Source organism: Homo sapiens, chromosome 11 (genome assembly GCF_000001405.40).
Source record: "Homo sapiens chromosome 11, GRCh38.p14 Primary Assembly".
In the NCBI taxonomy this organism is placed as follows: domain Eukaryota; kingdom Metazoa; phylum Chordata; class Mammalia; order Primates; family Hominidae; genus Homo; species Homo sapiens.
Window position 1 is genome coordinate 61,893,751 of NC_000011.10, and position 14,828 is coordinate 61,908,578.

A 14,828-nucleotide genomic window follows, 5' to 3' on the forward strand; every position below is an offset into this window, starting at 1 on the left:
TCGGCAACATAGCAGGAACCCCGTCTTTAATAAATAAATACATAAATGAAAAAATCATGCCAGGCATGGTGGTTCACGCCTGTAATCCCAGCACTTTGGGAGGATCTCTTGAGCCTAGGGGTTCGAGACCAGCCTGGGCAACATGACAAAACCCTATTTCTACAAAAAAAAAAAAAAAAAAACTAGCAGGGCATGGTGGTGCGTGCGCCTGTAGTCCCAGCTACTTAGGAGGCTGAGGTAGGAGGATCGCTTGAGCCTGGGAAGCAGAGGTTGTAGTGCCCCAAGATCATGCCATTGTACTCCAGCCTGGGCTACAGAGGGAGACCTGGTCTCAAAAAATCAAATCACACGTGTTGGCAATGATGCAGAACCCTTGTGCATTGTGGGTAAGAATGTGAAGTGCTATAGCCAACTATAGAAAAGAGTATGAAAATGGCTTTAAAATGCCTATGATTCAGCAATTCCATTTCTGGGCATATACCCAAAAGAACCGAAAGCAGAGTCTTGAGGAGATATTTGTACATCTATTTTCTTAGCAGCATTATTCACAATGGCCAAGAGGTCATTGTGAGGCAGCACAACTGTCCATCCACAGACACTGGATAAACAAAACGTGGTCAGGCCAGGCGCGGTGGCTCACACCTGTAATCCCAGCACTTTGGGAGGCTGAGGCGGGCGGATCACCTGAGATCAGGAGTTTGAGACCATCATGGCCAACATGGAGAAACCCTGTCTCTACTAAAAATACAAAAATTAGCCAGGCATGGTGGCGCATGCCTGTAATCCCAGCTACTCAGGAGGCTGAGGCAGGAGAAAGGCTTGAACCCAGGAGGTGGAGGTTGCGGTGAGCCGAGATCGCACCATTGCACTCCAGCCTGGAGTAATAATTAATTATAATATAATAAAATTAAAAATAAAAAATAAAACGTGGTCTATGCATACAATGGAATATTATTCAGTCTTAAAAAGGAAGGAAATCCTGTCACATGCTACAACAGATGGACACTGAGGACATGAAGTGAAAGAAGCCAGTAATGAGAGGACAAATACTGCATCATCCACTTAAATGAGGGCCCTCGTGCAGTGAAATTCATAGAAAGTAGAATGGGGGTTGCCTGGGGCTGGGAGGAGGTGGAAATAGAGGGTTGATTAATGGGTACAGAGTCTCAGTTTTGTGAAATGAAAATGTTCTGGAGATGTTTCGGAACACTGTAAATGGACTTAGCACTACTGAACTATACACTTAAAAATGGTTAAGGGAGGGCCAGGCACAGTGGCTCACACCTGTAATCCCAGCACTGTGGGAGGCTGAGGCGGGCGGATCACTTGAGGTCAGGAGTTCAAGACCAGCCTGGCCAACATGGTAAAACCCCGTCTCTACTGAAAAAAAAAAAAAAATTCACACACAAAAAATTAGCTGGGCATAGGGGCTCATGCCTGTAGACCCAGCTACTTGAGAGGCTGGGGCAGGAGAATTGCTTCAACCCGGGAGGCGGAGATTGCAGTAAGCCTAGATTGCGCCACCGCACTCCAGCCTGGGTGACAGAGTGAGACTCCGTCTCAAAACAAAACAAAACAAAAACAACAATTAAAAAAAAAGAGTTAAGGTAGTACAAGTTATGGGTTTTTTACCGTAATAAAATGAAAAAGGCAAGGAGGCTGCGAAAGCCATTTAGTCCTATATTTCCAACTCACAGATGAGGAAACTGAAGCCCAGAGAGGAGCGACTTTGCCCAGGTGCACAGCCCCGGCAGGAGTTCCATCAGGACAGTCTTGGCAGACTGGAAAGCATCCTGCAGGAGTGAAGCACGCCAGTGCGCAGCTGGTCTCGGCTCAGCGCCTCCACCCTCAGAGGCCAGAGTCGTTGCTAGGTTTGAAGAGGGGGCCAAAGAGGGTTAAAATGTTCACATGTGCCAGGGGTACTCAGAGAGGCCCAAGTGGGTTATCTAGAAAATCCATTTAAGAGGAACAACTCCCTCGTGGCTGATGTCGGCTAACCCTCCCCAGCCACCTTTAAGCACATTGCAGGTGTCTAGGAAAGGGAATCCAGGATGCTGGTTCATACTGTGGGCTCCAGGGCTGGCCTCATGATTCCTATCCCGGGGCCATCATTTCCTCTGTGGCACTTCTGTGTGCCTCATTCTACTCATCTGCAAAATGGGAGAATAGTACTCTATAAGGTTGCTGTGAGGATGAAATGAATTAGATCATTTAAAGGGTTTAGAATCATGCCTGGCACAGTCAGTGCTCAGCTATTATCTCTCGTTGGGAGATACTGAGAGTGTATGTCCATCCTCCAGGCATTTCAGTTCTCTGTTTATGACCCCACTTGGGGTCTGACAGCAGGCTATGCCATTGCAGGGGCAGGCAGCGCGGGTCTGGGGTATGGGACCCTCTGCCTGGCCCCTGGAGTGTGGTCTGGTGTCTCCTAGGTCTTCAGTGTTGCTGGGCCAGGAGCACAGAAGCTGGGGGTAGGGTGGACAGCTCCAGGGCCCAGACCTCCAACTTCCTTTGGCCCCCCAGCTGACCCAGGACTGACAGAGAGGAGAGAAAGCGACTGCCACGCAAGAGAGGCTGTGGGGATCACAGCAGTGAACACAGCCTCTTGCGCCCTTTTCTGACATCCTCCTTTGCCTGCCTGCTTTCCTCTCTTCCATCTGATGCCCTGTGCGTGTTCCTGGTATGTTTTTGATTGCCAGTCTTCCCCCTGGACATTCTCAGCTCAAGCACAGGTGTCCCCAGCATGGGTGGAGGGCTTCCTGTGGTCCTGGCCAGTCCACAGCTAGCCTGACCTACCAGCTGAGTGGCACCAAGGCCTCAGGCCAATACGGAAGTCCCCACAAGGTGTCACCAGCCCAGTAGATACTGACCCGACTCAGAAGCTGCTATGCTCTCCACCACCCCAAGAAGGCATCTATTGGCCTGGGCCCACATCCCTACAGGTGGGGAGGGGCTCAGCCACCACAAGACACCTTCCCAGCCCCACTCTGGGTCCTCAGAGGTCCTGGCCACCCCCACCTCTTCCAACTGTGACTGCTGCCCCTTGCTGAGAGCTCGTCTAAGACCTGGGCTTCCATGGTCCCCGCCTGTGCTTCCAGCAGACATCACCAATCAATCCTGCCACTGTCCCACTGAGCAACAGGCAGCCTCGATGCTTTGCCTCTGAGCTGCAGGCTTCTGTGAGACTGGAGGTAACCATTGCTGGATGCAAGGAGACCCAGGGGAGGACCTGGCCAAGGTGCCACAGTGAGGCAGTGGGAGAGCCAGCCTTGGTGCCGTTCTTCCCAACAGCAGGCCACCAGCCACGGGGAGAGGGAGGCCTGGCTCATCCCCCAGTAACCCACAGCCCTCTGAATACTAAGGGAGGACTCAAATAGTCCTCCCCACAGCAAGTAAGTGGTGATGGCGGAGGTGGGGTGGCTTCAGGATTTGGGTTTAATCCCAAGCACGAGGGCGGGCAGGGAAAGGATTTGGTTTCATTCCTTCAGATGCCCAAGCCTTGGCCAGAGCCCCAGGGTGCAGGAGTGAGGGCGCGTGGCCACCCAGCCTGTACCAACAAAGCCTGCCTTTATTAAATAGAGATCGCGTTACATTCCATCCAAAGAAGGAAATCCGGACGTGGTGAGGGATGCGTCCAGGTGGGAGCTCCGAACGCTGGTCCTGAGTGGGCTCTGATGGGTGGGAGGGCCCAGGTCCTGCCTGCCCACCCAGGCCCCACATGCCAGGGCGCGTGTCTGCATGGCCACCCACAGCTGAAAACAGGCGTGGGTGATCTGAAGCCCTGTCTGTGTTCTACTGTGGCAGAAAGTGCCCCAGTCCTTCCAGCGGTTTTGGGAGCAGGGCCTCCAGGAGCACAGGGCTGAGACGGGGTGGGAGGGAAGGTGACAAGGGAGGCCTTTATGAAGGGGGAGGGAGGAAGGGGGAAAGGAAGGGAGGAAGCGGGGGAGGGGTCTTGACTCATCTTAACAAGGCTTTGGGGCAATTCTGTGCTATGGAGGCCCTGCCAGCCCCTCCTAGTAGTCCAATAGGGAGGCCACCGGGAACAAGGCACAGGATGGCCACAAGGGGGTGCTGCTGGCCCAGGGCTTGGCAGCTGGGGTGGAGGGTACCCTGGAGATCCAGCCACCCAGAACAGTCCCTTTCTGAAGACAAGCCAGCAACAAGGCACCTGCAGGCAGTTCTGGGGACTGGGGAGGGGGCGCTGGCTGCCTCAGGTGTCCCCTCCCAAGGGCTGAGGCCCCCCGAGTATGGATCCGAGCTCCCTGGTCTTTGGTGCTTTCTTGAAATCCTCCTGGTGGTGGCAGAACCCAGTGGGGAAGAGAGGGGGGTCTTGCCGTGAAGTCCAGGCCCGTCTGTCCCAGGATGGACGTGTGGTGCTGGCTCAGTGCTGCCTCCATGGCCTGTCTGTCCATCCATTCTGCCTCTGGCTCAGGGCTGGCTCCAGGCCCCCGTCTCCCTGTGTGTCGGCTTGTTCTGGGGTGGGTGTTTGCTCTGTCTCAGAGCTCCCCTTCAGGCCTGGGCCGCGCCCTAAGCCTCCTGGGGGAAGAAGCCGAGCTTGGCCAGTGACATCTCCTTCCGCAACCTCATGATCTCCCAGAACATGGGCTCTGCTGCAGGCAGAGAGAGGGTGAACAGGTCGGGGACAGCTCAGGGTCACCTCGGGCAGATGGCCAGGTCCCCTCCTGTGGCTTTGGACAGAGCAGCTGGCACAGCACCCTAGGGTCCCCGGCCCCCAAAACAGATGACCTCAGTGAGTGGCTGGACCTCTCTGAGGCTCCACTCTTGAGCCTTGGAAACTGCTGAGTGCCGACCACACCCGAGGGATCTGTTTGCACTACACTGACGGCCACCCCCACAGCCCGACGCAGACAAGCAGGTACACGCTGTCACATGCCACAGCGGTGGTCCAGACCTGGGAACTACATTAGACAAGGCACAGATGCCTCCCTGGGGTCTCACAAGGACCCTGCGCAGTGAGGCGGGGACCACAGCGGCCATCCAGGGACCTAGCAGGTGTCAACACCCAGCATGCCTTGGCCTTGGCCTCCAAGAGGACTTGACCCCCAGGATGGAGAGGAGATAGCTCCTTACTCAGAGGGTCGGGCCAGACTGGTTCAGGAGAAGACTCAGCAGCGAGCAAAGGTTGGTGGAGGAGCGGGGAGCCAGGCCTTGCAGAATGGGCTGTGGGGGGAGGGGGTGGAGGGAGGCCCTGTCCAGCATGGAGTGGAGTGGGAGCAAAGGCTGGAGGTGGGTGACCCTGTGTTCAGGTGACCAGGAGGAGGGGCCACCACCTCCAGGGCCAGGGAGAGATTCACAGGGGTGGCCCCCTTGTGCGGGGCCGGGAGAGGTTTGGGGACAGGAGAAAGACCAGCCGGACGGACTCAGGTACAGAGCTCAGCACCCAGGAAGTTTGTGAACGCTTTACTAAACCACAACCCTCCCCGCTCCCCAGCCTCCTAGCTGAGTCTTGCCTCCACTAGGGGCAGGTGGGCCCAGAGGGCACTTCCCCATCCAGCCCCACTCCCGTGTGCGATCCCTGCACCGGCCACCAGGGGGCGCTCACCGTCCTGCCGCACCAGGCCTTGCTGGATGTAGCGGATGTAGGTGAAGAAGTTGCACACTGCGGTGATCTGTGGGCAGAGGTGGGGACGGTGTGACCTGCCAGCCCCACGCTGGGGGTCCCCTGACAGGCGGATCTGAGTCCAGAGCAGGAGGCCCCAGGTCCCTGCAGAGCCAGGCAGTGCTCCCTGACTCAGCTGGGACTGGGCTTTCAAGTAGTAATCAACAACAGCATGACTAGCCCTGCTGTAATAGCAGCAGCAGCAGCAGCAGCCATTTCATCAAGCGCCTGCAGCGAACGGAGCAGACGCGCTTATTATTCCATCTTACATGGGGGAAAGCGGAGCCACCCGGGGAAAGCCGCTGACATCCATCACGGAGATGGCGGAGCTAATGAACCAGCATGCAGCAGAGCTGTGAGATGAACCGGGCAGGCTGTCCCGGAGTCTACACTCGCCCTCTCACAGGCCGGCTTGCTCCAGATGCTGGAGTTTTGGGCCAGCCAGGCCTCAGTCCAGTGCTACTGATAACACTGGGAAAGGAAAGGGGGTCAGAAGCCGCTCACCTGGGCTGCCCGGGGCCCCTGGGGCCTCAGGCCTGCTCCATGCCAGGCCCCGGGGACCCTGTGTTGGCTCAGACACTGCTATGAGGACTCACACCACGGAGAGGGTACTGTTGGTGCCTGGCCCAGGGCCCCTTCCCAGGCCCGGGCCCCATCTCCCAGCTGCTGAGAGTGGGGGCACTAATGGCTCAGAGGTGCCCCCCTCTGTACTCACTCCTCCTGTAGACCTCAGCCGATGACTGACTTGTGTGGAGATAGAAAGGACAGTCCCCTTGCCTCAGGGTGGAATCAACTCTGCTAAGAGCCCGGTGGATGGGGCTGAAGCTGGGCTGTAGCTAAGGCCACATCCTGGCTGGACTCCCCCGTCCCTTCCCTCATTCTCCTGGGAGCTGCACACAATCTCCAGGTGAGGCTCTGCCTCTTCGGAACCCAGCCTAAGACAGGGTGGAAGGTAGCCGGCGGCTGTGCCCGCCCGCAACAGCCCCTACTGAATGTCCAACACTCCTGGGGAGGGACATCAAGTGAGAGGGGCACCCGCAGGCTGGGGAGTGGAGAAGCTTCGGGGAGGGGCGGGACGGTGGTGGCCTGGCAAAGATAGGGAGGTGCGAGAGAGCGGGGCGAGGTCGGGGGACCAGCCCGTCGTGGCAGGGACACCGCTGCACAGGGAGGGTTGAGGAGAGGCTGCGGCAGGAGGGTGGGGCAGGGCAGAGCTCAGGACAGGAGCAGGGACAGTGGATGCCCACAGAGGCTCATGAGCAGGGAGTAGCAGGGAGGGGGCTTTCCCTCTCCAGGGAGTGTGCTAGGGAGAAAACACTTCTCCCTGTGGACCCCACATGTCTTGGTCTTTCAGGGCAGGGACCACATCCTAAAACTTCAGACCCTCCTCACCTCATCTCCCACCCCCAGCTTCATCCAGTGCAGCAGGACACCCAGGCCAGGGACTTAAAGTGCTAGAGGTGACATTGTTGAGCACGGGAACATCTTTTGTGGGGCCTGCTGTTGAGCCATGGTTGGGCCTGGAAAGCGGTGATGGAGATAAGTGGCCACTGAACAAGGCTCAGTGGGCACAAATCCACAGGGTAGGGGCTGCAGTGGACTCAGAGCCAGGATCCCAGGTCTCGGTGTGTGGCCCTGAACACACCCCTTTCCTCTGCCAAGGCTCAGCCTCCCTTTTGGTAAATGGGTGCTCAGCACACCGCTGGGAGGACTCACGCTCGGATGCCTTGTGGAGTTCATCAAGGACAGTATAGTCTGCTGCCAGCAAAGGGACCATTTGTCCCCTTTAGACCTGCTCCCCTGCGAGGAGCCTCTAGCAGGCCTGAGATGGTTCCTCAAGCTGTGTCACTGGAAACGTGTTTCCAAACATGTTCTCTTGTTCCCCTCAATCCTCTTAAGAGTCAACAGAGGGACAGAGGAAGAGGAATCCCTGTCCTCAATCCCCAGCTTGGTGAGAACCCCTGTCCTGGTCTGGGTCACTCGGCAGGGGAGGGTGGGAGCTGGGATTCCTAGAGGCCCCTTGGCACTCACGGCCGACTTAAGGCTGGTGCACCAGACGCACCGCTGAACCTTTTCCAAAGCTTCGGCCAGCACCTGAGTCTGGGCGTCAGGAGCCCCGCACTCTAACTGGAACTCTAGCATCACTCCTGGATTAGGTGACATTGAATGACAGAGGGGGGCGATGTCATCCCATGACATTTCATACATAAGGCTGCATCTCAGCCGACTGGAGAGTGGCCCTCCTGATGGCTCTGAAGTCAGCTGCCCTGTGCAACAAGGCCCTGTGGCAGGGGACTGCGGGTGTCCTCTAGAAGCTGAGGGTGTCCCCTTGCCAGCAGCCAGCAAGAAAATAGGGGCCTCAGTCCTTCAAACACAAGGAACTGAATGCTGCCAACAATGTGAGTTTTGAGGAGGACCCTGACTTCCAGAAAGGAACACAGTCTGCTGACAGCTTACTGCGACCTTGCAAGTCCCTGAGCAGAGAATCCAGTAAGTAAGTAGTGCTTAGACTCCAACATGGGGAACTGCGCTATTTTAAGCTACCAGGTTGATAGTAATTTGTTACACCGTAATAGCAAACCACTGCCCTTGGCTTGGCTGTGTGGCCCGAGTCAGTCTCTGCGCCTCTCTGAGCCTGTACCCTGCTCTGTAAATCAAGATGTAAGGCTGGGCGTGGTGGCTCACACCTATAATCCCAGCACTTTGGGAGGCCGAGGCAGGCAGATCACTTAAGGCCAGGAGTTCGAGTTCAGCCTGGCCAACGTGGTGAAACCCCATCTCTACTAAAAATACAAAATTAGCTGGGCGTGGTGGCACATGCCTGTAATCCCAGCTACTTGGGAAGCTGAGGCAGGAGAATTGCTAATGTCTGCCTGGGAGGCAGACATTGCAGTGAACTGAGATTGTGCCACTGCACTCCAGCCTGGGTGACAAAGACTCTGTCTCAAAAAATAAATAAATAAAATAAGTAAATCAAGGTGTAGTGCTATTCATACTCCCAGGCCCAGGGCCCAGTGTCCCAGCACCCAGGTGGCCCCAAAGGAGTCAAGTAACGCTTGCAAAGGCTGACTCACCCTGGCCCGGGAAGATGGCGAGATGTAGTAATGGCTTTTGGAGTCCCCGAGCCGGATTCGGTGGCGGCAGGTGCGGGTCAGCCCGCTCAGGGCACATGTGCTAGGGGAAAGCAAAATGGGTCACGGGGGCTGGCTGGGGCTTGCCCCTCTCCCTCACCCCTGCATACAGGGAAGATGCAGCAGCTGAGAGGATGCATGGGGAGGGGCAGGCCTCCCTTCCCCCACCCGGCTTCCAAAGGAACCCAGAGCCAGGCAGAGAAGGGAGCTGGCCCCAGCCATCCCTGGGACAGACCTCGAACTAAGCTGAGCTGTACCCCTAGAACCCTTGTTTTGCCCCTACTGGGCAAGAGAGCTTGGTTAATCTCATGCCAGGTGTACAAAGTCCCACCCTCTGCAGGCTCTGCATATGCCTCTCCCTCTACTTCTGGGGACTCAGACCAGGCACTCCTCCCCCAACTAGGCCAGAGTTGAGGTCTGGCTGCCTCCCGCTTCCCAACATCCAGCAGCTCCCCTGCTTCATCCATGCAGGCCTTCTGACCCCACTAACCCCCATGGTTCTCAGCCGCATGCCAACCAACCCCGTCTAAGAGCCTTCTCCCATGCCCTCTTCTCTCCTCCCCCCAGTCCTGCATGACGTCGCTCAGCATCTTCAGCCACCCACATGAAGGGTCTCCACAGGCCCTGAGCAACCCCCATCTGGGCCCCACTCCCCAAACCTGCTCTTCACTGGCCATCATCTGCTCGGCTCTCTCCTCCTCACCCTCTGCTTGGTCACCAAGTCCCCAGGCCAGGGCACAGCAGCAGTACTTTTGGCCTGCATCCCCTTGGCTCCTTCTGGCCAGCTCTCTGCCTCATCGCTCTCTTTCTTCTCCACATCAGAGCCAGGGCTCCTCCAAAAACCCACATCTAACCCATCATCTTTCTCTCTTGCTTTCCTAATTCCCAAGAAATGGGGAGAATCCCAAATAAATGAAGGTTTAAAAAGCTCCTTGGCTGCGGACTTATCAGAGCATTTGTTGCCTCCTGGTTCACTGGGACTCTCTGATGGACCAGAGAGCCTCTTTTCAGGTGGCAGCTATTGATGACTTTTTTTTTTTTTTGAGACAGGGTCTCACTCTGTCACCCAGACTGGAGTGCAGTGGTGCAATCTCAGCTCACCACAACCTCCGTCTCCCAGGCTCAAGCAATTCTCCTGACTCAGCCTCCCGAGCAGCTGAGATTACAGGCGTGTGCCACCACACCCGGCTAACTTTTATATCTTTAGTAGAGATGGGGTTTTCTCCATGTTGGCCAGGTTGGTCTCAAACTCCTGACCTCAAGTGATCCACCCGCCTCAACCTCCCAGAGTGCTGGGATTACAGGTGTGAGCCACTGCACCCGGCCTATTGATGACTTTTGCCGCACTGGCTGGTGGGTTAAAGCCCAAACCTGTGAAGGCTCTTTATACTCTGGCCCCAACAGCCTCTGCAGCCTCCACCCCAATTCCCTGTCCCCCCACTGCTTAGCCAGATGCCCCAGTGGTGCTTCCGTTAATACTCCAGCTTCTCACACCTTTGCACATTCCGTTCCCTCTGCCTGAAATGCCCTTCCCTGCTTGGCAAACTTCTATTCATCCTTCAAAACCTGGCTCAAATGCTCCCTCTCCGTGATGAGCCTCCCACCAGGGCACCAGCCATCCCCAGCCAGGCTCTTGGCTGCCAAGGTGAAATCCTCCCCAATTTCTGCCCCTTGCTCCACCCTGGCTATTTTGTTCTGCTGCTCCCCTGCTCAATGCCAGGTGAGTAGCTGGAGGACAAATGCCAGGGCTACTGCGTCGTTATTTATTGGCAGGGGCACAGCCAGCAACTGATAATCATGGTTCAAGAAAAGAAGGGGAGGGCACAGAGCAGACCAGTCAGGAAGAGGCAGACCCTAGCTCCCGGCCTCTCTGGAAAGCCTGGGGGTCCACAGGAAACCTGCCAAACTGCCTCCTTGCCCTGTGGGGGCAGCAACTGTCCCTGTCCTGTCGGCGCTGCTGCATCCTGACCACCCCTCGGCACAGTAAACACACGGCTTGGCGGGGCTTTCCCACATGGGCAGGAAGGAGCTAAGACCCTCAGCTTACTTGGTGCTGCTACAGTCAACCTCGGCCACCTTCACTGTGGGCAGCGTCTGCGAAGCCACCGGCTCAATGGTGAGCGTGTTGTCCTCCACGGCGGCCCGTACCAGCACCGAGAGCTGTGGCAGACCAGGGAGGCAGGCAGGGTGGTAAGGGGCTGGGCCCTGGCGGAGGGGTGTGTCCCCCAGCTGGCCCCGCCCCTGCCATGCCTCACCTCCTGCATTGTGAAGTCCAGGCAGGGGCCCACGTCCTCTCGGTACACCCTTTCCAGGAAGGGGCAGGTCTTGTCCAGGGTGGGGGATTCCCTCCAGGCCTGGAACTCTGCAAACAGGATTGTGTCCACCTGTGGGGGAGGGCAAGCGAGGGTGGGGGCGGTCAGGGTACTGGGGCCAGCATAGAAGATGCAGGCTGAGCTGAAGGGGAGCGAGGGAGGACGTGGGGCAGGCCCAGCAAGCCAGCAGGTCGATCCCCAGCAGCCGTGCAGGGAAGCCAAGTCCAGCAGCAGCAGAGCTCCCTTCTGCCCTTTGCACCAAAGAATTTAGAACTAAAAGTTTTGTTTCCAGGCCGGTGTTAAATTTCTTGGCGCTACTGGATTTTAGAGTGGGGTGCAGGGCTTTGTCCTGAAGACCCTCAGTGCCTCCTTGAGGAGGAAAAGTCAAAGAGCAACTAGCAGGAGGCCACAGGTACCAGCAGGTACACAAGCACACACAAGCACGTGCACACAGGAGGGGACACACACAGGCTGCCCTGGGCCCACACCTCAGAGGTGACTGCTGGCCTGCTCCAGGCCACATGCAGAATGAGGGAGGCTGGGAGGGGGCAAAGTGGGAGGCCCCTCTTTGGAGCCATTTACCTGTCGGGAAAAGGAGGGAGAGGGAGTGGAGGCAGGGGCTGGGGGCTCCCCAGGTGGGAGCGGCCAGGCCGGCTCGTAGGTGAGGTGAACCGCCTTGCTGGGGACCACGCAGAGGAGCAGGGAGAGCAGCGGGGCCAGCCCGGGCTGGGCCGGATGGACAGACAGACAGACAGACAGACAGGTAGACAGGTGCACAGAGACAGAACAGGAGGAAGGGGAGAAGTTAATGTACATTCAGAAGCTCAGAGCTCAGGAGGTGGATGAGGGCCTGCTCGTCTTCCCTGGAGGCCCTGGAGACAGAGGTGGAAGCCAGGATGGAGTCGAGTGGGCTGGCGCCAGGGACCCAGGAAGCTGAAGGCACCACAGCCCTCTGAGGCACTACCTGGGTGCAGCCTTGAACTCAGCTCTTGATGTCCCTGTCTCTGGTTCCTCCAGCAGCCCCGGGAGGCCCCATTTATCAGGTGAGAAAGCTGAGGTGCTGACAGGTGGCCTCATTTGCCTACAGACCCATGACCATGAGTGTCAGCCCAGCCTGGGCCCAGCAACTGGTGTGGCCAGCTGAGGTGGGACGGAGACACCTCTCCAAAGGCCACGCTTGTCTCAGCCCCACAGTCAGAGGGTGCCAGAAACCCCTTGAGCACAGGGCTGTCACCAGGTGGTCCTGGGGCTCGAGGCTGTGGCCACACGGGGTCCAGGCAGCCTCTCCCCTGAGGCCCAGTGGCTGCTGCTTGGCCTCTTAAGGCCAAGGAAGTGTGTGTCTCAGTGGAGGCCCCAGATCCTCAGGGCCAAAGCCAGCCTCAGGTGCAGAGACCACTACCTACTGCTTGGAGTCAGTGGGGCAGGGAGGGGGCCTCAGGTCCCCAGATGGTATACCCTGGAGGCTGCAGGCCAAGTGCCTCAGATCACAGGAGGTTGGAGAGAAAGGACCTGCCCAGCCCTCACATCCCAGAGAGGCGCAGGACAGGCTCCAGGTCACACAGCATGGGGCAGGCTGGTCCTCACTGGGCTCGGACCCTGCCTACCGCAGGCACTGCCACCCTTCCCCGTGCCCAGAGCCCGCTTCCCACCCTCACCTCCTTGCCCTCTCTGTCTGGGGTGAGGGTGTGTCCCGCAGCGGGACACACGGCGGGGCAGAGGGTGCTGCTGGTGCTCTTGTGGCGAGAGTGGCCCTTTCGGGGCCCGGCCTTGGTGGGGCTCAGCAGCTGGGGGTGAAGCTCGCGGTTGGGAGAGGCTGGTGTGGACGTGATGACCAGCGTCTTCAAGGCTGTCACCTCTGCCTGCAGCATGTCGATCTGCATGGGATGGGATGGCTGTCAACCCTCACCCAGACTGGATGCCATCCTGGCTGCCACCGCCTATCAGCCTAACTCAGGACAATGCACCCCTGCAGTGACAGGCACTTAGTCCCACCCGACGCCCTCAGAACAGCCTTCGAGGCAGAGACCCAGACACTCGTTTTACACATAGGGAAACTGAGGCTCACAGAGGCGACATGGCCTGCCCAAGGTCACTCTGTGAGCAGGATTCTGTTAGGAACAAGTGTCTGGGAGCTGGCTGGGCCTCCCATGAGAGTTCTGGGACCGCCCCCAGGAGCCAGGAAAGGCCCAGGCCTCACATTTTGCAGATGGGCAACCAGGCTTGGAGAGAGGAAGCGACTTGCCCAGGCTCAGACAGCCATACTGAGTGAGGTTTCTGCTTTGTAAAGTGGGGCTGGGAGGAGAGGGAAGAAGGTACAATAATCACAGGGTCCTCCCAGCCCCAGCACTATCCCAGAAAAGGCTCTGCCATGCAGCAGAATCACTGATGGAGCCCCGGGACACTGGGCCCTGTGATCTCAGACCCCCACCCTTCCCTTCCCTCCCTGGGCCTAGGTTCACCCATTCCTGCTGGCCCCACCGGGCCAGGTGAGCGTCCACTCGGGCAGCAAAGCTCAGTGCTCGCTGAGCCGGGAGGCAGGGGGGGTGCCTGGGCTGGCCTGGGCAGGCGGGGATGGGCCTCACCTTGCCCCGAGCCTCCTTCAGCTGCTTTTCTGATGCCGCCTGCTTCATGTTGGCTTCTCGAACCATCTTGTGAGCTTCCTAGGAAGAAGGCAGTCCCTGCGTGAGTGGTGAGGAGCCAACGGACGCCCAGATGACCCATTCCCCAAGTTGTTCCCGCGCCCAGCCGGTGTACCTCAAACAGGCTGGCCGTCAGCTCTTCCAGCTCCTGTTCTAGCTGCTCCCGCACCTTGGACAGCCGCTCACATTCCTCGTCCTTTAGCTTCAGCTCCTGGAGGAAAAGAGGCAGGCACTTGAGCACCTCAGCATCCCCAGGCCTGGCACGGGAGGGACCAGGCCCACCGGACCAGGTTCCATCCCCTCGTCATTTTATGTGGGGCTCAGAGTTTATTTCCTCTGGTGCCTGACAGTTTGTGATGCTTTTTCCGTTTAGCCACAGCATGAAGCTGAAGCCCTGCCTGCCAGTTCATCAGAGCTCAGGGCACGTTTGCAGTCAAGACGGGTGACCATCGGTGCGCCCAGTACAGGCCTGGCCAGCAGCTGGCCTCGGTGAGGGCACATCCCTCTCCCTTGGGCACATCTCTGGGCACCTGATGAGAGCCCACAGCTCTCCCAACCTGACTTCTCCCCACCGAAGACCCCCCAGCCTACTGCAGGCACCCACCTTCTGCGCTCTGTGCAGCTCCTCCTTCAGGAACTCGGAGCCCTTCTCTCGGATCTCCATGGAAGAGCTGCGCAGGCGCAACACGTCCAGCTGGGCGGCTGCGGGGCCCTCCTGGCCTTGGGCCTCCTCCCCTGCAGAGGTCTCCACCAGGGCTCCTGGGGACTCCCTGTGGCCTTGGCAGGGGTCCGTGCTCTTCCAGGGGACCGGGACAGCTGCAAGGGGCGGCGGGAGGCCCTGGTCTGGCTGGGGTGGGCTGGAGACAAACAAGGGTATCAGCAGGTTCAGGGTGGGGTCCTGAGGCCTGGAGAGCTGAGTCCAGAAACCGCCCCGGGGCAATGTGCCTGCCACTTGAGCCTCAGCCTTTCCATCTGAAAACTGGGACCCTACCAGCTATCATCAGTGTTGTTACAAGGGCAAATGTCCAAGCACAAAGTCTCTTGGGGCAAGAGGCTTATTACTCTTTGTCAACCACCCCTTCCAGCCCAGGGCTGAGGGCTGTGTTTGGCACATGCAGTAGGTGCTCAG

At 58.1% G+C, this 14,828-nt stretch overlaps 1 protein-coding gene across 11 annotated transcripts in view, besides 5 other annotated features; it reads right to left on the bottom strand.

The window, feature by feature from the left end:
- Positions 1 to 3,550: 3,550 nt before the first annotated feature.
- Positions 3,551 to 14,828, bottom strand: part of RAB3IL1 (RAB3A interacting protein like 1) — a 49,023-nt gene continuing 37,745 nt past the window's right edge. For 2 of the 11 annotated variants that reach the window (XM_006718647.5, XM_047427380.1), the window contains exons 2-10: positions 14,304 to 14,556; positions 13,815 to 13,910; positions 13,643 to 13,720; positions 12,716 to 12,934; positions 11,004 to 11,132; positions 10,796 to 10,908; positions 8,692 to 8,791; positions 5,564 to 5,630; positions 3,551 to 4,607 (exon numbers count right to left, since the gene is read on the bottom strand). In XM_006718647.5, the coding sequence (XP_006718710.1) occupies positions 4,528 to 4,607; positions 5,564 to 5,630; positions 8,692 to 8,791; positions 10,796 to 10,908; positions 11,004 to 11,132; positions 12,716 to 12,934; positions 13,643 to 13,720; positions 13,815 to 13,910; positions 14,304 to 14,556 (1,135 nt within the window). In that variant the 3' untranslated portion in view covers positions 3,551 to 4,527. Of the gene's footprint in view, positions 4,611 to 4,632; positions 5,182 to 5,563; positions 5,631 to 8,691; positions 8,792 to 10,795; positions 10,909 to 11,003; positions 11,133 to 12,715; positions 12,935 to 13,257; positions 13,353 to 13,642; positions 13,721 to 13,814; positions 13,911 to 14,303; positions 14,557 to 14,828 lie in introns of those variants that run through there. The other 9 variants (XM_005274140.6, NM_013401.4, XM_011545197.3 and 6 more) reach the window with 7 other exon arrangements.
- Positions 5,269 to 5,318: a silencer, noted in NCBI's record as "silent region_3408". NCBI's record gives its function as "represses an Ori minimal core promoter by ATAC-STARR-seq in GM12878 lymphoblastoid cells {active_cell/tissue: GM12878}" and the evidence as "EXISTENCE:reporter gene assay evidence [ECO:0000049][PMID:35858748]".
- Positions 5,669 to 5,718: an enhancer, noted in NCBI's record as "active region_4804". NCBI's record gives its function as "activates an Ori minimal core promoter by ATAC-STARR-seq in GM12878 lymphoblastoid cells {active_cell/tissue: GM12878}" and the evidence as "EXISTENCE:reporter gene assay evidence [ECO:0000049][PMID:35858748]".
- Positions 5,669 to 6,657: a biological region, named in NCBI's record as "H3K4me1 hESC enhancer GRCh37_chr11:61666908-61667879".
- Positions 5,686 to 6,657: an enhancer, noted in NCBI's record as "H3K4me1 hESC enhancer chr11:61666908-61667879 (GRCh37/hg19 assembly coordinates)". NCBI's record gives its function as "activates a minimal SCP1, AML or CMV promoter by ChIP-STARR-seq in naive H9 embryonic stem cells {active_cell/tissue: H9 hESC(naive)}" and the evidence as "EXISTENCE:reporter gene assay evidence [ECO:0000049][PMID:30033119]".
- Positions 5,769 to 5,838: an enhancer, noted in NCBI's record as "active region_4805". NCBI's record gives its function as "activates an Ori minimal core promoter by ATAC-STARR-seq in GM12878 lymphoblastoid cells {active_cell/tissue: GM12878}" and the evidence as "EXISTENCE:reporter gene assay evidence [ECO:0000049][PMID:35858748]".